The sequence below is a fragment of the Homo sapiens genome, chromosome 5 (genome assembly GCF_000001405.40).
Source record: "Homo sapiens chromosome 5, GRCh38.p14 Primary Assembly".
NCBI classification, from domain to species: Eukaryota; Metazoa; Chordata; class Mammalia; order Primates; family Hominidae; genus Homo; species Homo sapiens.
Window position 1 is genome coordinate 181,095,815 of NC_000005.10, and position 25,832 is coordinate 181,121,646.

The 25,832-nt window shown below is 50.8% G+C and overlaps 4 non-coding genes and 2 pseudogenes across 4 annotated transcripts, besides 2 other annotated features; 3 read left to right on the forward strand and 3 right to left on the reverse strand.

Annotated features, from left to right (window-relative positions):
- Positions 1–1,255: 1,255 nt before the first annotated feature.
- On the forward strand, positions 1,256–1,328 carry TRV-CAC1-2 (tRNA-Val (anticodon CAC) 1-2). The gene has a single exon. It is a non-coding gene; the product is annotated as a tRNA-Val (tRNA).
- Positions 1,329–1,659: 331 nt separating this feature from the next.
- On the reverse strand, positions 1,660–1,741 carry TRL-AAG1-1 (tRNA-Leu (anticodon AAG) 1-1). The gene has a single exon. It is a non-coding gene; the product is annotated as a tRNA-Leu (tRNA).
- Positions 2,962–4,976, reverse strand: FOXO1B (forkhead box O1B (pseudogene); annotated as a pseudogene).
- On the forward strand, positions 6,026–6,107 carry TRL-AAG1-2 (tRNA-Leu (anticodon AAG) 1-2). Its single transcript has one exon. It is a non-coding gene; the product is annotated as a tRNA-Leu (tRNA).
- Positions 6,108–6,438: 331 nt separating this feature from the next.
- TRV-CAC1-3 (tRNA-Val (anticodon CAC) 1-3) lies at positions 6,439–6,511 on the reverse strand. The gene has a single exon. It is a non-coding gene; the product is annotated as a tRNA-Val (tRNA).
- Positions 8,547–9,048: an enhancer, noted in NCBI's record as "H3K4me1 hESC enhancer chr5:180531361-180531862 (GRCh37/hg19 assembly coordinates)". NCBI's record gives its function as "activates a minimal SCP1, AML or CMV promoter by ChIP-STARR-seq in naive H9 embryonic stem cells {active_cell/tissue: H9 hESC(naive)}" and the evidence as "EXISTENCE:reporter gene assay evidence [ECO:0000049][PMID:30033119]".
- Positions 9,049–9,548: an enhancer, noted in NCBI's record as "H3K4me1 hESC enhancer chr5:180531863-180532362 (GRCh37/hg19 assembly coordinates)". NCBI's record gives its function as "activates a minimal SCP1, AML or CMV promoter by ChIP-STARR-seq in naive H9 embryonic stem cells {active_cell/tissue: H9 hESC(naive)}" and the evidence as "EXISTENCE:reporter gene assay evidence [ECO:0000049][PMID:30033119]".
- Positions 18,212–20,040, forward strand: LOC729707 (transmembrane O-mannosyltransferase targeting cadherins 4 pseudogene; annotated as a pseudogene).
- Positions 20,041–25,832: the final 5,792 nt, after the last annotated feature.

Genomic DNA, 25,832 nt, shown 5'->3' on the forward strand with positions numbered 1-25,832 from the left:
AGGCAGAGGTTGCAGTGAGCAGAGATCATGCCACTGCACTCCAGCCTGGGCGACAGAGCCAGACTCTATCTCAAAAAAAAAAGAAAGAAAAGAAAAGAAAAGAAATACCTGAGGCTGGGTAATTGATAAGAAAAGAGGCTTAATTGGCTCATGGCTCTGCAGGCTGTGCAGGAAGCATACCGCCAGCTTCTGCTTCTGGCGAGGCTTCAGGAAGCTTCCAATCACGGCAGAAGGCAAAGAGGGAGCAGGCACATCACATGGCGAAGGTGGGAGCAAGAAGGCGGGGGGTGCCACACACTTTTTAAAACCTTATCAGGGGAGAACTCATAATAGGGAGGACAGCACCAAGGCCGTGGTGCTAAACCATTCATGAGAAATCCATCCTCATGATCCAATAACCTCCCACCAGGCCCCACCTCCAATATTGGGAATTACATTTCAACGTAAATTTTGACGAGGACATAAATACAAACTATATTACTACCCTTAAACAATTGGAAATTGCTTTGTTTTTGAGAAATAAAAGAATGCTGAATTCTGTTCTGTTGCTTTGGTTGTACACTTTAGTGAAAATTGAAAGGTTATGTTAATTTCTGAAGAATTATAATGATAAAAAACGGTGCAGACACAACCTGCACTTTGCAAGCATTGCAGACTTAAGTTTTTTGGGGGAAACTATACATAATTAAATAGTTTCCCAGTGAGCTCAGCCAGCCCATTCAGGGCAGTGCCCAGACATATGCTTGTGGCAAACTCTAGCCAAGCAACTTACCTACAGGAGAAAAAAAGACTCACTGTTTCAAGAGGAGCTGTGGTGCTTCTCTCCTTTCTCCTCTTTTTCTTGTATAAACCCTACATTCACCTGTATTCAACAAAATCAGCCAACTAATTGGTTTCTGTGTGTGTATTCAAGAAAATCAGCCAACTAATTGGTTTCTATGTGTGTATTCGAGAAAATCAGCCGACTAATTGGTTTCTATGTGTGTGTATTCGAGAAAATCAGCCAACTAATTGGTTTCTGTGTGTTTGTGTTCAAGTGAACGTCCACATTCACTCAGCTGTGCTGTGTCTCTGAGCTACTCTCTGACTCTGCAACCCTCCCCTTTTAAATGGTTGCACTGGACTCTGTATTCTTGTGCGCTCATACCCATTACCAAGCTCAAAGGGACCCACGGAAGAAGCTCAGAACTCTTATGAGAAATAAAATACCGCCGTGTGTCGTGACTAATTATGATGGCAGAAAAGCATCAAGCCGGTTTCCGTAGTGTAGTGGTTATCACGTTCGCCTCACACGCGAAAGGTCCCCGGTTCGAAACCGGGCGGAAACAGTTCCTTCTACTTTTCACTTAACTGCTTCAAATTTATTACACCGAAGACTAGCCTAGAACATCCCACCAATATCTCCACCCACTTAAGGAGAAAAGGCTATCAAGGGTATTTATACCGTTGCCTTTCCGCCGCAATCATTGGCATCTGGGAAGAACGGAACCCACCTCACTTGCTGTTGACACCAGCATGACGAACTCCCCACAAAGCCCGTCCAGTGGATGGATGCACAATGCCAAATGGAATTCCCGATGCCGGGAAAGCGTGGGGCCCAAGGCGACTTCCTCCTTTTGTAACCCATGAAGGGACAAAAATGGAGGAATCACAACAAGCTGGCAGCGGTGGGATTCGAACCCACGCCTCCGAAGAGACTGGAGCCTTAATCCAGCGCCTTAGACCGCTCGGCCACGCTACCCTCCTTCTGGGCTTCACCTACATCTTTTCCTTCCTTATAAAACATCCCCAGGGTCCCCGGGCCAACAAGGCGTCGAGGCGAATCCACAGGGCATCGCAGAACCACCGCCTTCCAGCAGGATTCGCTGGGCCAGAGGCCCCGGCTGGGAAACGGCTCCACCAGCGCCCCGGCAGAGAAGGTTCGCGAAGCGCAGGTCTCGGGATTTGCTTTGGGGGCCACTCAGAAAGTCACCCACATTGGCCCTCTTTGGGGAGGCGGCGTGAGAGGAGGGGAAGCCTTCTGCACTCTTTAAAGAAAGATAAAAATAAATAAACCAGGGCAGACCCGGTCCGCTCGGGGCCGCCTAGTCCTGCAGCCGCCGCGCCGCACTCCACAGGCAGCAGCGCACAGGGCGCGACTCCGGGGAGGCCGCGGCCCGCGGGGTCCGTCCGTCCTGCGGTCCCCAGCCCCGTCCCCTGGAGCTTGGCGCCCGCTCTGCCCGGATCCGCCCCGGCCCGGGGCTCCTGCCCGCCGTCCAGTCCGCGCAGGGACCCCGAGCAGCCTCGCCGTGCACGGCCCCGCCGGGCTCAGTTCTGGGCTCGCACTTCCACCGCCCCCGCCTGGCTCCCAGTTTCTTTCTGTCTCCCGCGGAACCGACCTCCTTCCCCCGAATCTCCGCCAGCTCTTCTCCCCCTCCCCCTACGCCCCGTGCTTTGCTCTCCCGCTTCTCGCCTCGCCCGCGGCTGGGGGAAGGGACTGGAGGGGAGGGGAGGGGAGGGGACGGGTGGGGAGGGGTGGGGCGGGGAGGGAAAGGGTGGGGAGCAGAGGGGTGGGGAGGGGAGGGGTGGGGAGAGGTAGGGAGGGGAGGGGTGAGGAGGGGAAGGGTGGGGAGCAGAGGGGTGGGGAGGGGAGGGGTGGGGAGAGGTAGGGAGGGGAGGGGTGAGGAGGGGTGCGGAGGGGTGGGGAGGGGAGGTGAGGGCAAGGGAGGGGAGGGGTGGGGAGGGGAGGGGAGGGCAGGCGAGGGGAGGGGTGGGGAGGGGAGGGGAGGGCAGGCGAGGGGAGGGGTGGGGAGGGGAGGGGAGGGCAGGGGAGGGGTGGGGAGGGGAGGGGAGGGCAGGCGAGGGGAGGGGTGGGGAGGGGAGGGCAGGGGAGGGGTAGGGAGGGGAGGGGTGGGGAGGGGAGGGGAGGGCAGGCGAGGGGAGGGGAGGGCAGGCGAGGGGAGGGCAGGCGAGGGGAGGGGACTCTCAGTTCCTGTTGTCAGACAATCTGAAGTTGTTTTTTTTTTCTTTGAGACGGAGTCTTGCTTTGTTTCCAGGCTGGAGTGCAGTGGTGCCATCTGGGCTCACTGCAATCTCCGCCTCCCACGTTCAAGCGATTCTTCTGCCTCAGCCTCCAGAGTACCCGCGATTACAGGCACGTGCCACCACACCCAGGCAATTTCTGTATTTTTTGTAGAGACAGGGTTTCACCACGTTGGTCAGGTTGGTCCCGATCTCCTGACCTCGTGATCCGCCCACCTCAGCCTCCCAAAGTGCTGGGATTACAGGCGGGAGACACTGTGCCCAGCCGATGAAGTACTTTTAAGTGTAGCGGGCTCACCAGTTCTCAGCCTGACACGCAGCTATGTGTCCTTGTCTTGACACTGTGTGAGGAGCTTTGGCTGGGCAAAACATTGCCAAGGTGAAAAATCCAGCGTGTCTCCATCCATGAGGTCATTCCAAATGAAGATTTGGATTCCATGTCACAGTCCAAGGGCTCAGTGAGCATGCCGTCCAAGTCACTTGGAAGCCTCTCCTGGTGGAGAAGGTCCATTCTGCCATAACCACTGCAGCTGCTCACCGAGGAGTAGCCCCCCAGGGCACTCATCTGCATGGGGTGGGGCAGAGGCACTTGCAAAGGTGTCTTCACTGGGGTCAGTTGGTTCACACCTGAGGTGTGGGGCTTGGTGTTTTCCGTGTGAGACAGGGCACGGCCGTAAGCTGCATATGTCTGCTGAGCATGCCCAGGGTGGATATGGGAGCTGGGATGCCTCATTTTGTATCCAGATGCCTGGCTGCCATAGGTTGACATGGCTGAATTAAGGCCCATCATGGTATTCTGGCCCAGAAACCGACTGTTGGATTGGGCTACTCCAGGATCAGCTGGTGTCATAATGTCATTATGGGGAGGAGAGTCAGAAGTCAGCATCTCCTCCAGGAGTCCCGCTACACAGTTACACGGACTCACAGCTCCGTAACTTGATTTGTGCTCCTGGAGTGTTTGCATCTGGGGCAAAGGGCTCATGTTGGACTGGCCCTACGTCTGTTTTTTGCAGTTTGGCTGGGCGAATTCAGACTGGTGTTTGGTGGCACAAAGGAGTAGCTGGCGTCTGCTGCATCATGGTGCCAGGTGAGGACTGGGTGGACACAGTTAATGATGTTGGTGAGGAGATAAGACTGAGATCACTCAGAAAGCTTTCCACGTTTCAGGATTGCTTGTCTCAGACTGGGTGGAGTAGGGGCATCTTTGCCGCAGATGGCGGGTACCCCACAGAATGTGCGTCCCCATCTCCAAGATAGTCTCCTTTGACTATAATGGGTGAAAGTCTCCCAGTAACAGTACTAGCATTTGAGCTAGTTCCAGGGCGAAATGCACTCCAGCTATTAAAGTCATCATTGCTGTGAGAGCCAGGGCTTGCAGGCCATCTGGAAAACTGGGGTCCAGGGCTGTCCCCGGCACCCCCCTGGCTAGACTGCAGGATGCTTTTTTCGTGGCAGCTTGACTTAGGCTCCGAGCGCATTTGCTGCTGCTGTCCATGGATGCAGCTCTTGTCCTAAGAGATCTCCCACCCTTGCCGCCCTCTGGATCCAGCGTCCACCGAGCACTTTTTCCAGTTCCTTCATTCTGCGCGCGAGTCAGCTTGCTGTGTAGGGACAGAAGATGACGAAGTGAATTCCTGCAGCCCGCCGAGCTGTTGCTGTCGCCCTGGGAGCAGGGCACGCTCTTGACCATCCACTCGCAGATCTGCGACAGCGCGAGCCGCTTCTCCGCCGAGCTCTCGTCGGCCCTGGTGCTGAGGTCGGCGTGGGACAGGCTGCGCGACGCGGTGCGACGGGACGAGCTGCCCCTGCGCTGCTGCCCGGCGGAGGCGGGGTCCCGGGTGGGTGCTGCGGCGCGGCGTCCCGGCGTCCGCAAAAGTCCTCGCTGTCCTGCAGCAGGCTCGGGTTGCTCATGAAGTCGGCGCTGACGGGCGGGACTGGAGGTGGCCGCGTGGGACCCGCGACTGGAAATCCGGGTGCACCTCCGCCCCCCGGGGCGCTTCGGCCTTGGGGTCCCGTCCCCTCCCCTCCCCTCCCCACCCCTCCCCTGCCCTCCCCTCCCCTCCCCACCCCTCCCCTGCCCTCCCCTCCCCACCCCTCCCCACCCCTCCCCTGCCCACCCCTCCCCACCCCTCCCCACCCCTCCCCTGCCCTCCCCTCCCCTCGCCACCCCTCCCCTGCCCTCCCCTCCCCTCGCCACCCCTCCCCACCCCTCCCCTGCCCTCCCCTCCCCACCCCTCCCCTGCCCTCCCTTGCCCTCCCCTCCCCTCTTATCCTTCCCCCAGCCGCGGGCGAGGCGAGAAGCGGGAGAGCAAAGCACGGGGCGTAGGGGGAGGGGGAGAAGAGCTGGCGGAGATTCGGGGGAAGGAGGTCGGTTCCGCGGGAGACAGAAAGAAACTGGGAGCCAGGCGGGGGCGGTGGAAGCGCGAGCCCAGAACTGAGCCCGGCGGGGCCGTGCACGGCGAGGCTGCTCGGGGTCCCTGCGCGGACTGGACGGCGGGCAGGAGCCCCGGGCCGGGGCGGATCCGGGCAGAGCGGGCGCCAAGCTCCAGGGGACGGGGCTGGGGACCGCAGGACGGACGGACCCCGCGGGCCGCGGCCTCCCCGGAGTCGCGCCCTGTGCGCTGCTGCCTGTGGAGTGCGGCGCGGCGGCTGCAGGACTAGGCGGCCCCGAGCGGACCGGGTCTGCCCTGGTTTATTTATTTTTATCTTTCTTTAAAGAGTGCAGAAGGCTTCCCCTCCTCTCACGCCGCCTCCCCAAAGAGGGCCAATGTGGGTGACTTTCTGAGTGGCCCCCAAAGCAAATCCCGAGACCTGCGCTTCGCGAACCTTCTCTGCCGGGGCGCTGGTGGAGCCGTTTCCCAGCCGGGGCCTCTGGCCCAGCGAATCCTGCTGGAAGGCGGTGGTTCTGCGATGCCCTGTGGATTCGCCTCGACGCCTTGTTGGCCCGGGGACCCTGGGGATGTTTTATAAGGAAGGAAAAGATGTAGGTGAAGCCCAGAAGGAGGGTAGCGTGGCCGAGCGGTCTAAGGCGCTGGATTAAGGCTCCAGTCTCTTCGGAGGCGTGGGTTCGAATCCCACCGCTGCCAGCTTGTTGTGATTCCTCCATTTTTGTCCCTTCATGGGTTACAAAAGGAGGAAGTCGCCTTGGGCCCCACGCTTTCCCGGCATCGGGAATTCCATTTGGCATTGTGCATCCATCCACTGGACGGGCTTTGTGGGGAGTTCGTCATGCTGGTGTCAACAGCAAGTGAGGTGGGTTCCGTTCTTCCCAGATGCCAATGATTGCGGCGGAAAGGCAACGGTATAAATACCCTTGATAGCCTTTTCTCCTTAAGTGGGTGGAGATATTGGTGGGATGTTCTAGGCTAGTCTTCGGTGTAATAAATTTGAAGCAGTTAAGTGAAAAGTAGAAGGAACTGTTTCCGCCCGGTTTCGAACCGGGGACCTTTCGCGTGTGAGGCGAACGTGATAACCACTACACTACGGAAACCGGCTTGATGCTTTTCTGCCATCATAATTAGTCACGACACACGGCGGTATTTTATTTCTCATAAGAGTTCTGAGCTTCTTCCGTGGGTCCCTTTGAGCTTGGTAATGGGTATGAGCGCACAAGAATACAGAGTCCAGTGCAACCATTTAAAAGGGGAGGGTTGCAGAGTCAGAGAGTAGCTCAGAGACACAGCACAGCTGAGTGAATGTGGACGTTCACTTGAACACAAACACACAGAAACCAATTAGTTGGCTGATTTTCTCGAATACACACACATAGAAACCAATTAGTCGGCTGATTTTCTCGAATACACACATAGAAACCAATTAGTTGGCTGATTTTCTTGAATACACACACAGAAACCAATTAGTTGGCTGATTTTGTTGAATACAGGTGAATGTAGGGTTTATACAAGAAAAAGAGGAGAAAGGAGAGAAGCACCACAGCTCCTCTTGAAACAGTGAGTCTTTTTTTCTCCTGTAGGTAAGTTGCTTGGCTAGAGTTTGCCACAAGCATATGTCTGGGCACTGCCCTGAATGGGCTGGCTGAGCTCACTGGGAAACTATTTAATTATGTATAGTTTCCCCCAAAAAACTTAAGTCTGCAATGCTTGCAAAGTGCAGGTTGTGTCTGCACCGTTTTTTATCATTATAATTCTTCAGAAATTAACATAACCTTTCAATTTTCACTAAAGTGTACAACCAAAGCAACAGAACAGAATTCAGCATTCTTTTATTTCTCAAAAACAAAGCAATTTCCAATTGTTTAAGGGTAGTAATATAGTTTGTATTTATGTCCTCGTCAAAATTTACGTTGAAATGTAATTCCCAATATTGGAGGTGGGGCCTGGTGGGAGGTTATTGGATCATGAGGATGGATTTCTCATGAATGGTTTAGCACCACGGCCTTGGTGCTGTCCTCCCTATTATGAGTTCTCCCCTGATAAGGTTTTAAAAAGTGTGTGGCACCCCCCGCCTTCTTGCTCCCACCTTCGCCATGTGATGTGCCTGCTCCCTCTTTGCCTTCTGCCGTGATTGGAAGCTTCCTGAAGCCTCGCCAGAAGCAGAAGCTGGCGGTATGCTTCCTGCACAGCCTGCAGAGCCATGAGCCAATTAAGCCTCTTTTCTTATCAATTACCCAGCCTCAGGTATTTCTTTTCTTTTCTTTTCTTTCTTTTTTTGAGACGGAGTCTCGCACTGTCATCCAGGCCAGAGTGCAGTGGGGTGATCTCGGCTCACTGCAAGCTCCGCCTCCCGGGTTCACGCCATTCTCCTGCCTCAGCCTCCCGAGTAGCTGGGACTACAGGCGCCCGCCACCGCGCCCTAATTTTTTGTATTTTTAGTAGAGACGGGGTTTCACCATGTTGGTCAGGCTGGTCTCGATCTCCTGACCTCGTGATCCGCCCGCCTCGGCCTCCCAAAGTGCTGGGATTACAGGCGTGAGCCCCCGCGCCCGGCCGGGATTATCGTGTTCTTGCGGCTGAGTGGTGCTCTGCTGCGCATCCACCTCGGTGCCTCCGCCCACTCCTGCACCGACGGCCGCTGCCTTTGCTCGCAGATCTGGGCTATTGTGAACAGCGCTGCGGTAAACGTGGCGGCACAGACATCTCTCGGGCAAACCGAGGATGCGATACGGATACTTCCTCCGTCATTTCCACTCCCCTTTCTCCAGGCCCTGAAGCTCCGTCTCCACGCCCGAACTCGTGGCCTCCCATTCCCCAGGCAGCTTCTCCCGAATGTCCCCTCTCAGAAACCGGTGCCAGCGCGTCCCCGCTGTGCCACCCCCAAGCCCACTGCCAACCCCGCACAGTTCCGCGTCCGCCGTCTCCTCTCCCTGCGGTCGCTGCCACACCCTCTCGTCCGGTCTCCCATGCCCCCTTATGCTACCGCGTCGGGCATGAAAACTTCCTTTTCTTTCTTCTCCTTCTTTCCTTCCTTTTGAGACAGGGTCTTGCTCTGTCTCCGCCGCTGGAGTGCAGTCACAGCTCCCTGCAGCATCAACCTCCTGGACCTAAGCAGTCCTCCCACCTCAGCCTCTGGAGTAGCTGCGCCTGGGGACAAAGGTTCCTGGCCTCAGCGCACTCTCAGATTCACAGGGAGACAGAACTGAGACTGAGAGCTGGTTCCTCTCCCTCTCTCGTGGGGATACAGTGAGAAGGCAGCTGGGCAGAAATCAGGAAGAGGATCCTTACCAAGAACTCCAGTGTGCTGCACCCTGATCTAGACTTCCAGCCTGCAAAACTGTGAGAAATCAATGTTCGTTGAGCAGCCTGGCATATGGTATTGTGTTACAGCAACCCGAACCAAGACAAAGGTTCTCAGCTGGGGAGACAGAAACTCATCTGGAGCCTGCACTCCCCCTGGGGAGGGGAAGATGCCTGTCGACCTGGACAGAGGGCCTTGGACAGAGGCAGCCCTGGGCTGAGTTGGCCCTTGCTTGCCGCTTCTGCTCGGGGGCACTGGGACAGGATCCCGGAAGGTTCCAGAATGCATGTCAAGCAAGCAGCAGCCCCTGTGGAGTTTGGGGTAACATGCACAGAGGAAGAAATGGCGGAAAAGCAGCATCAGGATGGCTTTAGGGCGGGGAGCTGCTGGAAGGTGGCAGACAGAGTGAGCAGGGGCAGGAGATGGGCCAGCGAGGCACCCGCTGACATGGAAGTGCCGTCATGCACTGCACAGCAACCTTCCAGGCAAGGAGGGACACGTGCATGACAGTGGTCCCATGACTATGATGGAGCTGAAGAATTCCTATGGCCTAGGGATGTCATAGCCGTGGTACTGTCGTAGCACAGACATCACTCGTGGGAGCGATGGGCTATGCCACCCAGCCTAGGGGTAAATGAGGTGCACCTTCCAAGAGCCACCTAATCACCATTTCCCAGAATGCATCCTTGTTGTTAAGGGGCCCGTGACTGTATGTCTTGGGAAGCAACACGTGACTGTTGTCCCGCCCTGCACTGACTGCCCAGCGAGCACTCAGAATGCATTAGATATGGGGTGGACAGAGGAGGAGGACAGCACCAGAACCCAGACAGCAACCGCCCTTGGAATCACCATTTCCTGAACCAGGGGACCTCCCCAGCCACCCACACCAAAGCCTAAACTCTCATACCTCCTCTCTCTAAAGCAGGGGTCTGCAAGCTTTCTCTGCAAGGGCCACGTATGGAATCTTTTCAGTTTTGTCGGAAGTACCCACGTCTGCCCTTTTGGTGCCAAAGCCAGTAAAGGTGACACATAACGAGAGGGAGGCGCTGTGTGCCAATGGGACGTGTGTGCCAATGGGACTTGACTCAGACACCAACATTCAAATTTCATCTAATTTCCACATGTCATGAAATATTATTCTTTTAATTTTTTCAACCAGTAAAAAGTGTAAAAAATGTTCTTAGCTCACTGGGCGGTAGAAAAATAGATTGCAGGCTGGGTTTGGCTTGAGGGTAGTTTGCTGACCAAGGGAAAGGGAAAAAAACCAAACTTGCTCTAACCCACCTCTCTCCCTCCAGTCCCATGCAGTCAGTCCCACTTCCCTTTTTTTTTTTTTTTGTAACCACAAAATTATCTTCACCATTAATTTTTCTTGCTTTTGACTTGGTTTTCTATTACACAGGTAACTCTATTCTCTCCAATGAAACTACACCATTACCATGTGCTCAATTCCCAAACACATTTGAGTCTCTTTATTGCTTCAGTTCCACTCCATTGATCTTCTTGGTTCTTCCTGCACCAGGACCAAAGTTATTACAGTTAGTAATACATGGAGGCTTATCTTTGTGCAGATTTCTTTGTACTGGGATTTTCAGAAGACTTTCCTAGCCCTGGAAGGCTGGTGTAAAAGAAAGGTTTCTTTCATGTCTATAATTCCTCCCAAACTGCCCTCTAGCAGGTGAGCCCCTTGTGCTCCCACAAGCAGGGTGCTAGGCCGCCAATTCCTTACCCTTGGTGGGTTCTATAAATCATTGCAACATTGGCAATTGGCTAAGCAAGAAATGTCTTACTATTGTTTTAACTGAGTGTATTTTTTATACATTCACTTATTTTATTCTGGAATTGCCTGTTCATATCCTTTGCTATTTTCCCTCATGGAGGTTTTAATGGTTTAACCAATTTTTAGAAGTTCTTTACATGTGTTTAATATATAAATATAAATATTTACTTATTCCAGACATTTGTTATATTTTATATGTAATGTGTGTATTATCTCCTAATCTGTTATATGTGTTGCAAATATTTTCACTGAGGTTGTCCCTTAATTTTTCTTTTTTTTTTGAGACAGGGTCTCGCTCTGTCACCCAGGCTGGAGTGCAGTGCTGTGATCTCAGCTCATTACAACCTCTGTCTCCCAGGTTCAAGAGATTCTCCTGCCTCAGCCTCCTGAGTAGCTGGGATCACAGGTGCACACCACCACGCCTCGCAAATTTTTGTGTTTTTAGTAGAGATGGGTTTTGCCATATTGGCTGGCTGGTCTTGAACTCCTGACCTCAAGTGATCTGCCCACCTTGGCCTCCCAAAGTGCTGGTATTACAGGTGTGAGCCACTGCACCTGGCCATCCCTTAATTTTTAACAGTGATAAAGTTAAACTGTAACACTTGGTTCGTCACTGTCTCCTGCCCTTAGACTGTAAGCTTATGACCACAGGGACCTGGCCTGTCTGCTCACCACTGCGCCCCTAGAGCCTGTCTGGCTTTCATCATGGCTGCCACAAAAGCCGCAGGCTGTGACTGAGTTTTAGATGGGTCACTTGGTGCAATTTCACAGGAATGTCCAGTGATGAACAAGACCATGCAAGGAACCAGGCAGGGGCAGCAGATCCGTCACTCCTTTCTTAGGATTCCTTGGGTGTTGCTTCCAGGGCACCCCTGCTGTGCCCGCCTCCTTGGGTGTCTGTAGGAGCTCCGCCTCCTTTCTGTCTCTTTTCAAAGCTGCAGCCCACCCTTCTGAGAGGACACAGCCTCTTCAGTGCTCTGGACAAGTCTATGGGACTTCACTGAGTAAGGAGAGGTTGTGGTTTATTATTAGAGATGGGGTCTTGCCGCATTGCCCAGGCTGTACCCTAACTCCCGGGCTCAAGCAGTAGCTGGGAATACAGGCATGCGCCACCCCACCCCACTGGCTTTTTTGCACGTCATTTTGAACAACTGATCATTAATGAGTAACAGATAAGGGATATCAAAAGCAGCGAACATATAATACTTCCCGAAGCTTAGGAACTACTGATGCCCTACAGCCAAAGACCACCAGGGACGTACAAGCAGCCTCCAGCCAAAGACCACCAGGGACGCACAGGCAGTTGAACAAGTACAGATTATCGCTCATTGCAGTGAAGGAGAACACACACTTCAGGGAATTGTGGGTGTCTCCCGGGAAGACGGTCTTAGAAGGTATTAATAGGATTTGGACTTTAGCTGGGCATTTGCGGGCAGGGTCTGAGTTTGCTTTAAACTGGATGCTGTTAGAAAGTGAGGGCGGTTCCATGACTGGGTGTCTCGATAAATGATATCTAACCTATGAGAAGGGAAGACTAGAGGGAAGATAAAGCTGTAATTGGCAAAGACGTAACAGCCACAGGTTTCGGCTGGGAGTGGGTGTTTGCTGCTTTGTGGGTGGTGCAGTCAACTTGCTCCCATCTGTGCTTAGATATGGTGATGAAGTGGCCTGGCTTGGTCTCCTTTCATCTTTGTCTCCAAGCTCTGTCTGGGGCTGGCGTTCTGTGGGGCTGCTTATGTCCAGCAGGAGAACAGCATGCTGCGGCTGTGAGCGCCACGCCAGCTTCCAAATGTCAGGGCTGCTCTTTAAAAACTTATTTTTTTCAGAAGTTGTTGTGGCCCCTGGTTGATCCCTGTGACCTTGTGTCCTGGCTTTCGTAGTATAGCCTCAATGCAAAATATTTTCCTTATGTTCCATTGGCCAGAATGCATGTGCTGGCATTTGGATCTGAAAATTTACATCCTATAAAAAAAAAAATCCTGATGCTTGTTAGTGCTAGCTGCTCCTTATCTAAGCACCTGCTACACGCCAGGCATTCACCGTGAACTTCCAAACTCTAATCTTAACTAAAACCCCATGTGGTAGGCTTCATTATCCTTGTACCCTTGATGGAGACATTTAACTTGCCTGCAGTCACACAGCTAAGAGGTGACATAAATACAAGTGGGATTCAGGTGCAGGTGTCCTGACTCCAAAACTCAACTGCCTTCCACCAGCTACATGATCTCTTCTGAGTTTGAGCCCCAAAGACTTCATTGTAGGCTGATATTTTGCAAGTTTCTCAACTGCCAGATGGGGTCCCAACAACCCCCTTCACCCCTCTCCCAGAAGACCCCGTCTGGGTGGAGCACTAGGTGCCTCCCGAGCCCATCAGAGGAGGCTGATTTGAGGGGGTGGTTTGCAGCCCTGAGGCCCTCCAGACCCTGGGAGACAGGCTTGCCCTGGAGGAAGCCGCCCTTTCCAAGCGCTCAGTAGGCCCACCCAGTTCCGCACGCTCCTTCACAATCTCCATGCACTTGGCCCTCAGTCCAGACCTAGAAAGAAGATTCTATGATCAGCTCATTTGCAGATGAGGAAACCAGGCAGGGTAGGAAGTGGGAGGGTCCCACCAGACAGACCCTCAGGTACTAGTGCCCCTACCCCCAGGCACCCCTCGTGGCCACGCCCACCTGCCTCTGCGGGACAGTGTCCATACTTAACCCTAGCAATCCTGAATTACTGTGCCCTGGGCTGGCAGGTGCCAACTCCTAGACTCTTCGTGGTCATTGCACGGTAGGTTCTGTTGTCTTGTTTACTGGTGAAAACACCGAGGCTCCTCGGGTGTGCTGGGGCTGACCTGGACGCATGCTCTGGTCTGGCTCTAACGACCCACAGTGGGAACCTCATGCAGACAACGCCCCAGCACCTTGACTTGCATGATGCCCACTGGAAACTCACGCCTGACCCTTAGGTTGGGCTCCCAGCAGATGACTCTGAAGCAGAGACTTGGTTTTTTCATTTTGTTTGTTTGTGTTTTTTGGAAGGGTTTTGCTCTGTTGTCCAGACTGGAATGCAGCGGCTCGATCACAGGTCACTGCAGCCTCCTCCTCCTAGACTCAAGCGATCCTCCCACCTCAGCCCTCCGAGTAGCTGAGACTATAGGCACACACCACCAGGCCATGCTAATTTTTTTTCTGTGTTTTTTTTCCTGTTGTTGTTTTGTAAGTAAGGGGTTTTGTCACGTTGTGCAGGCTGGTCTTGAACTCCTGGGCTCAAGCGATTCACCTGCCTTGGCCCCTCAAAGTTGTGGGATTCAAGGGCCATCGTGCCCGGCCTTGAAGCAGAGCTTCATGTGCAGGAAGGTTTTGGGGGAGTGCTGTTGGGATCAGCATCTTCAAGGGAGGGAGGGAGGCGTGACTGGGCAGAGGGAGGAGCTGAGCGGCAAGACAGTTACCACTGAGGCCTCAGCCCACCCCAGGGCTGCTGGGAGGGGCCTGCAGGAACGTCCAGTGGAGGTGAGGCTGAGGTGGGAGGGCCTGGCCTTTGTGCCCCTGTTCCAATCAGTCTTTGGGTCCTGGCTGCTTCCAGGGAGGAGGCGTGGCCCTGGGTGAGGCATTTCCCTTCCCCCAGGGCAATGCCTACAGAGGGGTTCAGTGCAGGCTGTGCTCCCAATCGAGGGGTGCGTCTGGTCTGGGTGGAGGGATCTGCATGGGGCATCGCAGCATCCACCCCACTATGGTCACCAAAGACCCGTGCAAGAACCTTCCCAGCAGCACTGTTCTATTGCATAGACATCCAAACTGGAAACTTCCCCAGTGTCCATCAGTGGAGAATGGACAAACAAGGTGTGATGCTGACAATAGTAAACTTCCACCTGAGCCTTGAGCTCCTGGGAAACGGCGACTATTAAGAAATCCTCCACCCTCTCAAGCAGTTTGAAAATTTTTCGAGGAACTTAGAACTACCCTTTGACCCAGCAATCTCATTACTGGGTTTACATCCAAAAGAAATAATTGTTTCACCAAAAAGACACCTGGCGCTTGTATTTTCATCGCAGTGCTGTTCACAATAGCGAAGCCACGGTGCCCGTCCACGGTGGATTGCATAAAGAAAGTGTGGTACATAGACACCATGGGATATGACACAACCATCAAAAAGAACGAAATCATGTCCTTTGCAGCAACGTGGATGCAGTGGAAGCCGTCATTCTAAGTGAGTTAAGGAAGGAACAGAAAATCAAATACTGCATGTTCTCACCTGTAAGTGGGAGCTAAACACTGGGTAGTCATGGACGTAAAGATGGCAACAAGGGATGCTGGGGACTCCTAGCGGGGAGGGAGGAAGGGAGAGGGTAGGGTTGCAAAGCTATAGGGTGCTATGCTCAGCACCTGGGTGAGGGGATCGTTCATACCCCAAACCTCAGCACCACACAATATACCCAGGTAACAAACCTGCAGATATACCCCTTGAATCCGAAATAAAAGTTGAAATTATTAAAAAGAAAATAGAAGAAATGCCCCACCCTCCTGTAGGCCTTTCCCCTGCCACATGGATAAGGCAGGATGGTGAACCCCTGTTGACCAACGATGAGGCCAGATCCAGACCCTCCAAATTCCCGATCTTCAACTCATGAGTGACTAGCTGAACTGTTTGTCCGCACTGACCAATCTGGATAAAATGCCTGTTGACTTGTCCATACTTTAGTCAGGCTTCCTGGTTCCCCACAGGCTGTGACCTTGGCCCACCTTGAGCAGCATGGGAACCCCTCTAACAGCCCCTCCTCAGAATCTCAGTTTCAGGAGAACACTCCCCGGTGCACTGTCCCATCTGTCACTGCTCATCCCGCCCCACCTGCCGCGGTCTTTCTAGCCTTGCTGACGCCTCCCTGCAAATGTGAAGCCCTTTCTGTAGCCTGGGACAGGGGTTCTTGCTGTCAAAGGATGGACCTCCTACTGCAACAGCCCCCTCCCTACTGCAGGGGGCTCTCCTCAGGCTGGAGTGCAGTGTTGCCATCTCAGCTCACTACAGCCTTGACCTCCTAGGCTCAAACAATTCTCCTGCCTCAGCCTCCCCAGTAGCTGAGACCACAGCTGCTTGCCACCACACCTGGCTAATTTTTGTATTTTTCATAGAGACCGGGGTCTCCCCATGTTGCCCAGGTGGGTCTTGAACTCCTGGGCTCAAGTGATCCACTTGCCTCAGCCTCCCAAAGTGCTGGGATTACAGGCATGAGCCACACACCTGGCTGAGAGTGTGTTAAGATACTTAAAATCTCAGGCCAGGCGCGGTGGCTCACGCCTAAAATCCCAGCATTTTGGGAGGTCCAGGCCAGAGGATCCCTTGAGGCCAGGATTTCAAGACTCACCCGGGAAACAAGAGGAAAACCTAGTCTCCACAAAAAATAAAAGAAAAACTTAGCCACAGCGGCAGTGAGCTATGATTGTGACACTGCACTCCAGCCTGAGCCACAGAGGAGAACCTGTCTCAAAAAAATAAAACATAAATAAAAACGCCTATCTCTGGGCTCCCCCTCAGAGTCTGTTTGCTAGGTCTGGGCTGGGGTCCAGGAATTTCCATTTCTAACAAGTTCCCAGGAGATGCTGCTGCTGCGTGCAGAACCTCAGCCCCAGGGGAAGGTAGCTTTCTGTGACTTGCTGTTTACTACTTGTTAAAATTCACTGAGACATTGGATGATAAGGTGTAGCCCTGTGGGGTTGAGATCTAAATGATTCTTGTTGTGTATAAAAGATAGCCCAGCAGCTACAGGTTTATTGCCTTGGAATTTATTAACCTGTTTTGTATCAAACTTAGCATTTGTATCCATCCTTCTTCCTCCCTGAGTGCATAACCCCACTTCTCTAACTCCCCGTGACTCAGACTCGCCATCCTGACAATTCCCTCATCAATGAGCTATACGCCTTTGCGTGTGTTTGCTGTATAAGTACATGACATATTGATGAGATACACAGTATGTATATGTGTTGTTAATGTTTCAAAGATTATGCTTTCATGGCAGAAACATCTATATATATGCTCCAAGACATGTATGGTTGTTCCTTACATCACCATAGTATAGGAAACCTGGAAGGAAACAATTCAAATGTGATCACTAGGGGTGTGGGTACACAGCACATGGTCTATCCACGTTATACACTCAAAAATAGTGAAGTGTGGGCCTCTAGGCATGGCAGAGGGCAGAAGCTGGCAAATCTGTTCCCACACCCAAAAGTATAAAATGGGACAAAATTGTCAAGAGCGATCATTTCAGAGCTCTCAAAATTGACCAAAGGCAAATCATCAAATGGAGAAACATATACTCATAATAAAAAGCTGCCAGAACTTCTAGTTAGAACAGCAGGACTTTGCAGCCTTCTTGCCTGGAGCTGCTGTCATTCTGGCACCCTGCCCTGATATCCTAGGCTGGGCCGGCCTTGAAAACCAGTAGTCTCACCCGCAAAGGGGGCTGATTTAATTTGGAACTGGGAAAAAAACTCAGACCTGCTGATGAGACGGGATTGTTCCCTTGATTTTGACCCCCTTCATGGGTGGGTACTGGAGAGGCTCGTTTCACTCAGCCTGCTGGGTGGCGGGTCGGGGGGTGGGGAACACTGCGTCTATGAAAACATTTTAAAAATTGCCATGTATGGTGGCTCCCACTTGTGGTCCCAGCTACTTGGGAGGCTGAGGTGGGAGGAACATTGAGCCCAGGAGTTTAAGGTTGCGGTGAGCTGTGAGTCCACCACTGAATTCCAGCCTGGGCAACAGAGTGAAGCCTTCTCTCAAAAAAAAAAAAAAAAAAAAAAAAAAAAATTGCATCGTGTGAATATACTGATATGGGAGGTAGAAAGAAATTATTTAGGCAGATAGTGAGGGCAAAAGAGTCCTTGGCAGAATTTCCCTTCTAACAAAAAGCAGCCTCCAAAATCATTTCTTTTCTAACAAAAAGCAGCCTGAAAAATAGAGCTTGAAACATAGAGATAAGCCAGCTGGAAGCCTGCACAGGGGAACGCTGGCAGCCGTGCCAGTAGAAAAGGGCCAGACATGTCCCACACGGAGGCTCCATCCTCCCTTTTTTGGTTACCACATGTACAGTAATAAAGAAATGGGCAACACGCTGTTCTTCTTGTTATCCTTCCGTGGCTACTGTAAAGCATTTAGAGACAGTAACAAGGAGGGAGCACGTTCTTCCACCTGGGCAACACGCTGCTCTTCTTGTTATCCTTCCGTGGCTACTGTAAAGCATTTAGGGACAGTAACAAGGAGGGAGCACGTTCTTCCACCTGGGCAACACGCTGCTCTTCTTGTTATCCTTCCGTGGCTACTGTAAAGCATTTAGGGACAGTAACAAGGAGGGAGCACGTTCTTCCACCTGGGCAACACGCTGTTCTTCTTGTTATCCTTCCGTGGCTACTGTAAAGCATTTAGGGACAGTAACAAGGAGGGAGCACGTTCTTCCACCTGGGCAACACGCTGTTCTTCTTGTTATCCTTCCGTGGCTACTGTGAAGCATTTAGGGACAGTAACAAGGAGGGAGCACGTTCTTCCACCTGGGCAACACGCTGTTCTTCTTGTTATCCTTCCCTGGCTACTGTAAAGCATTTAGAGAGAGTAACAAGGAGGGAGCACGTTCTTCCACCTGGGCAACACGCTGTTCTTCTTGCTATCCTTCCGTGGCTATTGTAAAGCATTTAGAGACAGTAACAAGGAGGGAGCACGTTCTTCCACCTGGGCAACACGCTGTTCTTCTTGCTATCCTTCCGTGGCTATTGTAAAGCATTTAGAGACAGTAATAAGGAGGCAGCACGTTCTTCCACCTTCTGGGTGCTGCTGAGCATCTTTCTGGGAGCAGTGGCCATGCTGTGCAAAGAGAAAGGGATCACCGTGCTGGGTTGGAACGTGGTGTTTGACATCTTGGTGAGAGGCAAATTCAATGTTCTGGAAATTGTCCAGAAGGTACCACATAAGGACAAGTCATGAGAGAATCTTGGCATGCTCAGGAACCGGGACTCCTCTTCAGAATGACCCTGCTCGCCTCCGGAGGGGCTGGGATGCTCTCCGTGCGCTGGAGGATCATAGGCCCGGGCCCGCCGGCCTTCACCGAGGAGGACAACTGGGCCTCCTTTGCTGACCGCGTGCTGGCGAGGGCCATAAACGACAATTACTCCTATTCATTGAATGCCTGGCTGCTGCTGCTGCGTCCCTGGTGGCTGTGTTTTGATTGGTCAGTGGGCTGCAGCCCCCTCATGAAGTCCCTCAGCGACTGGAGGGTAACTGCATTTGCAGCGCTCTGGTTCCGCCCAGTTGGCCTCATACGCCAAGCCCTGTGCTCTGCAGACGGCCACCAGAGAAGGATCCTTACTCTGCGCCTGGGATTGCTCGTTATCCCGTTTCTCCCCGCAAGTAACCTGTTCTTCCGAGCGGGCTTCGTGGTCCCGAGCGTGGGGTGCTGTGTGATGCTGCTTTTTGGATTCGGAGCCTGCGCAAACACACCGAGAAAAAGAAGCTCATCGCTGCCGTGGTGCTGGGAATCCTACTCAGCAAGATGCTGAGAGGCTGAGATGCGCGGTGCGCGGCGGCGAGTGGCGGAGCGAGGGGCGGTTTTCAGAGGCGCTGTGTCTGTGTGTCCCCTCAGTGCTGAGGTTCGCTGCAACATCGGCAGAAACCTGGCTGCTAAAGGCAACCAGACGGGCGCCATCAGATACCACCGGGAAGCTGTAAGCTTAAATCCCAAGTATGTTCATGCCGTGAATAATCTTGCAAATGTCTTAAAAGAAAGGAATGAGCTACAGGAAGCTGAGGAGCTGCTGTCTTTGGCTGTTCAAATGCAGCCAGACTTTGCTGCTGCGTGGATGAGTCTAGGCATAGCGCGGAGCAGCCTGAAACGCTTTGAAACCGCCAAGCAAAGTTACCCGACGGCGAGTAAACAGAAGGAAATACCCAGACCGTTACTACAGCCTCCGGCGTCTGCTGATCTCAATCGCCAGGTGGACGCCTTCAATGCGTGGAGAAATGCACCGAGCTGAAACCAGCGCGCAGCCTGGCCTGGAACAACGTGGTTACACTGCTCACGACCCAGGTAGTGCAGCCCAAGCCGAGGCAGTTGGAAGAGACGCGCTGGAATTAATACCTGATGATCACTCTCTCGTGTTCTCCTTGGCAAACGTGCTGGGGAAATCCCAGAAATACAAGGAATCGGAAGCCTGACTCCTCAAGGCAATTAAAGCAAATCCAAATGCTTCAAGTTACCGTGGTAATTTGGCTGTGCTTTATCATCGCTGGGGACACCTAGACTCGGCCAAGAAACGCTATGAAGTCTCCTTGCAGCTTCACCCCACGGCATCAGGAACTAAGGAGAATGCAAATGCAACAGAAAGACGCTGATCCTTTTTCCTTCATGTTTGGAGTCTGAGTGTGTGTGTGCATGAGCATATCTTTAATAGTATGTGGTTACATTTAACCATTTAAAAGTCTCAGACATGTGATTTTATTGATTTTTTTCGGCGCAAAAAGATGATAGCACCAGCAATATACTCTTGAATGCTTGATATGATTTTTTCATTGAAATTGTATTTTTTCAGACAACTCAAATGTAATTCTAAAATTCCAAAATTGTCTTTTTTAATTAAACAGAAAAAGAGAAAAAAATTATCTTGAGCAACTTTTAGTAGAATTGAACGTACATTTGGGATCTGAGCCTTGTCGTGTATGGACCAGCACTATTAAACTTCAATTATGACCAAGAAAGGATAGACTGACTCCTACAATTTGTATAAATATTGAATGTGTCTGTATGTTAGCATTTTTATTTAATGAAAAAGCAAATTAAGATTCTTGTTTTTTTAATCTCTCTTTTTTTAAAGCAATATACTGTGAACTTCGTTTGTAAGAAAATATTTATTTGTATTTTTATGTCTGGAATAGGGCAAATAATCGAACGAGGAATGGAAATTTTAACATGTAGTACAGCTACATGCTGTTCCCCACAGGAAGAAATTGACTCTTGCAGTAGTTTTGGATGCTCTGACTTGCACAATTTCAATACATAGGTGGTTATGCATAATCGATTACTATCAATAGAAAGTTCAAGCCATGCTTTAGGCAAGGGCAGGCAGCCTCACATCTTTATGTTTGTTACATCCAGGGTGAAGAGGGCAACACATCTGTGCAAGTTGCTTTTGAGTGTTTTTAACTGAAAAGCTGTTTTCCATTTTTGCTTAATGAAACTACAGAAATTACTCTATCCAGAAAATGCAAAATTTTCTCTCAAATGGAGCCACATTTATGGTATTTTTAAGAATTGAGTTGTTCCTGCTGTTTTTTATTTGATCCAAACAATGTTTTGCTTTGTTGTTCTCTGCATGCTGTTGACCTAATGATTTATGCAATCTCTGTAATTTCTTATGCAGTAAAATTATTACACAAACTAGCAAAAAAAGAGAAAGAAAAGAAAAGAAATGGAGAACACGGGGCAGCTCAGGCAGAGAACCCATCTGCGTAATAAAAGATTAGTATGGGGACTACCAGAGATTTGTGGCCTATGCAAATGGCACGCCTGGTCCACCCAGTTTTTCTCGCCCGATGTAGATCAGACACCACCTCCTCACCAGCTCATCAGTAACACCCCCTGCATTTCACTGTGGATCCAGGAGCCCATTTTTCTGAGACCCCTCTCTGTAGCAGAGTGGTTATCTTTCTTTCACCTATTAAACTTCTGCTCTTGGCCAGGTGTGGTGGCTCACACTTGTAATCCCAGCACTTTGGGAGGCCGAGGTGGGCAGGAGGTCAGGAGTTCGAGACCAGCCTGGCCAACATGATGAAACTCCATCTCTACTAAAAATACAAAAACTAGCCGGGCGTGGTGGCACACGCCTGTAATCCCAGTTACTTGGGAGGCTGAGGCAGGAGAATTGCTTGAACCCGGGAGGCAGAGGTTGCAGTGAGCTGAGATGGCACCACTGCATTCCAGCCTGGGTGACAGTGAGACTCCATCTCAAAAACAAAACAAAACAAACAAACAAAAATCTTCTGCTTTTAATCTCACTCTTTGTGTGTTCACATCCTTGATCTCCATCACCATGAGACAATGAACCTCGAGTATTATCCCAGACAACGAGGCCGCTTCAATACACATTTGGTTTATCCATTCATCAATTGATGGACATTTATGTTGTTTCCACTTTTTGGCTATCATGAACAATGATACCATAAACAGTTGAGTACAATTCTTTACATAAACACGTTTTCAATTCTCTTGTGTATATACCGAGGACTGGAGTTGATGGGTTGTATAGTAACCGTATGCTTAACCTTTTGGTATAGCAAAGTGAAACTTACAACATAGCAATTCCACTCATATCGTTTATATGAATGGAATTTATATGAAATTTACAGGAAAGGCAGATCAATACAGACAGAAACCAGATCACTGGTTGTCTAGGTTGGAGGCTGAGAGCCAGGGTTGGCTGCAGATGGGGATGCAGGAAATTTTTCTGACAAAGGAACTGTTTTAAAAGTGGATTGTGGTGATGGTTGCAGAACTGTATACAGTGACTAAAAATCATTGAGCTGTAAACTTACAATGAGTGGATTTTATTGTATTGAACTGTGCCCCAATAAAGCTGTTAGGGAATGCTAAACCATAAAAACAGACCCCCAAACACAGCAGCGAGGCAGTTAGTGTTTCCCAGGGATCAGCTGAGTGACCGTTGCAGTGTGCAAAATGATTCCTGTGGCCCAGAGCATAATAATGTTCACATAAGGCTTTAATGCAGCCTTGGCGGGCAGGTAACTTGCACCTTGAAACTTGAAGTTCTTGCTAGTGTTGCTTGTAATTAAGCTAAAGTAATTGTATAAATGATAAACATATGAGTAAATTTAAGGAGATGCCAAGTAAATGAAGGAGATGAGCAACCACCATGAGACTGAAGCTGGGAGGGGCGTGATGGAAGTCATCCAATCCAAAACTGCCGGAATAGAGACCTTGCCAACAGATGAGTTTAAAAAACGAAAAGTGCATGTTACAGAAACGAAATGAGGATCCGTCATAGGATCCAGTTTATGGCCAACATGGGCGCATCCACCCAATAGTGTGAGTCTGCAGGAGGGGCCAATGTGTGCTGCTGTGTTTTGTGTGTAATGTGCAAAGTCCTGGTCCTTGAGGAGATGGGGGCACTGGCTTTTATTTTCTACAGCTGTCTTCTATAATCTAAGGAGAGAAAAGCTTCTGTTGATGAGCACGCGGGGCTGCAGGAGGGTCGTGGTGTTGAGCGTGCTGGCCCTCTGCAGGGGCCGCCTGGGCAGGTCAGCTCCTCCGTTGGCTCTCAGAGTTTGAGTTTCACAACCCCTGGAGGTCCTGGTTCCTCCTGTAGAATGGCTCTGTCCAAATTTCCTCTTATAAGGACACCAGTCAAATTGGATTTGGGCCCACCCTAGTGACCTCATTTTTGTATAATCACCTCTTTAAAGACCCTATCTCCAAAAACAGTCACATTTTGAGGTCCTAGTGGTTGGAGCTCTAAGATATGAATTTTGAGGGGGACGCACTTCAGCGCTAGCAATGTCTTTCAGGCCTCAGGACTCCAGCTGAGCAGCGAGGCAGAGTCCAGATGGCAAAGGGAGGCTCTGGAGGGTTTCACAAATGGGACCATCCTGTGCCACTTTAGGCAAAAGGTGGAAGGAAGTGATCTTCTGGGGCTGCTTGGCTGGTTGTTCCAATGAATCCAGGAGAAGCAACCAGGTTAGCTTTGCCTTTGCCCTTTGGAAATCCATTTGGATTCAGTTCCAGTGTTGCATGGGCCTGGAGGCTGTGCCAACGTGGGTCCAGGGCACAGTTTAGGGACCTGCTCTGTGACCACAGGCCAGCCATTCCCATCTCTGAGCCTGTTTCACATCAACAAAATGAGAGGGTGAATTAAATGATCTCTAAGGTCCCTGCTCACCTGCAGTCACAGAGCAGGTCTGGGATTCCATCTGGCAGCGTGCAGCTGTGGAGTGGGCGGGCTCTGTGCCGAGGTCATCCTTGCAGTGTCCACAGCAAGTGAGGTGGGCTCAGTTCTTCAAAGGTGCTGATGGCTGATGTGGGAAGGCAACGGTGTAGATGCCTTTTTCTCCTTGCGCCTCTGTAACCAGGTGGAGATAGCAGTGGGATGTTCTAGTCCCTAATGTCACAAATGCGAAGTAATGAAGGAAAAAGCGGAAGGAGCCGTTTCTGCCTGGTTTTGAACCGGGAACCTTTTGCGTGTGAGGCGACATGGGACTTTGTAATACTTGCTTCCCTTTTGTGTATGCTTAAAGTTTTCTATAATAATGGTTTAAAATATTCACAGGCAAGTTTTTTTTTTTTCCAACTTCCTTACCAAATCCTTTCCCATCAAGTTGTTCATTCAACTTATGGGGAGATTTTGCATCATACATGTGACAAATCTTCATTCCAATCAGGTGGTCAGTGTTTCCTGCCTGTGTGAATATGAAAACTTGCTTTAAGCTAGGCATGGTGGCTCATGCCTGTAATCCCAGCTACCTGGAAGGCGGAGGTGGGAGGATCACTTGAGCCCAGGAGTTTGATGCTGCAGAGAGCTATGACTGCACCACTGCATTCCAGCCTGGGCAACAAAGAAAGACCCAATCTGTAAAAATTAAAATATTTTAAATTTCAGCCGGGGAGGATGGCTCACACTTCTCATCCTGTAATTTGTTTGTTTGTCTGTTTTTGAGACAGGGTTACGCTTTGTTACCCAGGCTGGAGTGCAGTGGCACAAAACCAGAATACTGCTTATCAGACAACTGTTTTCTCATTAAGACTCCTCACATCTGATGCCCACCAAGCCACTTCCAACTTCTCAAATCCAGATCCTAACACTCATACACATCTACCCTTGATCTTCCACTTCTGAAATACTGCAGAACGTGGTCATGGTGGTGTTTACCTTTACTGCATAAGGAATAAACTTGGCCTTGTTTGATCAGCAGGTTTTCCAGGTGGACTTTTTTTTTGAAAAAGTTAATAGAGAATAATTTTAATTCCTAAAAGCTTTGAATATTTTTTCTTCTCCTATGCATGGTTGCTCTAGTAGATGATCACAGATGCATTTGGGTGAAGGTTGAGAAGACTTACAGTATATATTCATTTAAAAATAATTCTAAAATTAATTATTGCCCATGACCCAGATGGAAAATTACTGTGCATTATTGTGCAGTTAATCAGACGGTGACTCAAACCACAGTGGCTGTTACAGATGTGCTCATCCTTAGTGGAACAAAGCAGCATAGCTTTTTATACCTAATATTCAGATTTTTTGTTTTTTTTTGAGATCCAGTCTCTCTCTGATGCCCAGGCTGGAGTGCAATGGTGTACTCTCTGCTCACTGCAACCTCCGCCTCCCGGGTTCAAGCAATTCTCCTGCCTCAGCCTCCGGAATAGCTGGGATTACAGGCGCCCGCCCACCACCACGCCTGGCCAATTTTTGTATTTTTAGTAGAGACGGGGTTTCACCATATTGGCCAGGCTGGCCTTGAACTCCTGACCTTAAGTGATTTACCTGCTTTGGCCTCCCAAAGTGCTGGGTTTATAGGCATGAGCCACCACCCCTGGCCCTAGTATGCACTTATTGACATGAAAAACTATTTTTCCTCTGTAACAAGTTGTAAGGCCCACAAAAAGCAGCTGTGTGCATTCCAGGACCACAACAGTGCGTCTCAACAATCTTGCCTCAGGACTCCATCGTTTCTCCTCCTGCGCAATATAATCCACAGAGATCTTAATCATCTTAACATGCCATAGAACACCATGCTTTGTGGAACAACTCAGATGCTTGCTCAGTGGACTATGGACAAAGTGGTTGCGGTTGTAGGGACAGAGGTTATCCACAGGTGCACCAACACGGATGGGTCCTCACCAAGCTGACCTGGTTACCACTACCACTGAGTGGCCAACCTTCCATCAGCAGAAACTCATTCTGGGCCCCAACATGGCACCTTTCCTTTTGCTACTAGCCTCCTAGAAGCAGGCTTTTATATTGGATCCCTTTTGTCATGAACGGCATAGCAATTTGACCTCACTGCGATAGACACCTTTTCTAGATTTGAATTTGCCTTCCCTGCCCACGCACATCTGACAGCACCGCCATCTATGTGCAGAATGCCTCAGATACCCCAGAGTGTTCTGCACAGCATCTCTTCTGATCAAGGAACTTGTTTTCTAGCAGAAGAAGGGCAGTGATGGGCTTATGTCTGTGGAGCTGACAGGTCCTGTGTTAGTCCATCGCCCGGAAGCAGGTGTTCTCATTACGATACCAACTCTTTTACAGTGTCAGTTCAGAAGCAAGACCCTGGAAAGACGGGGGCAAAGGACATAGGGAAT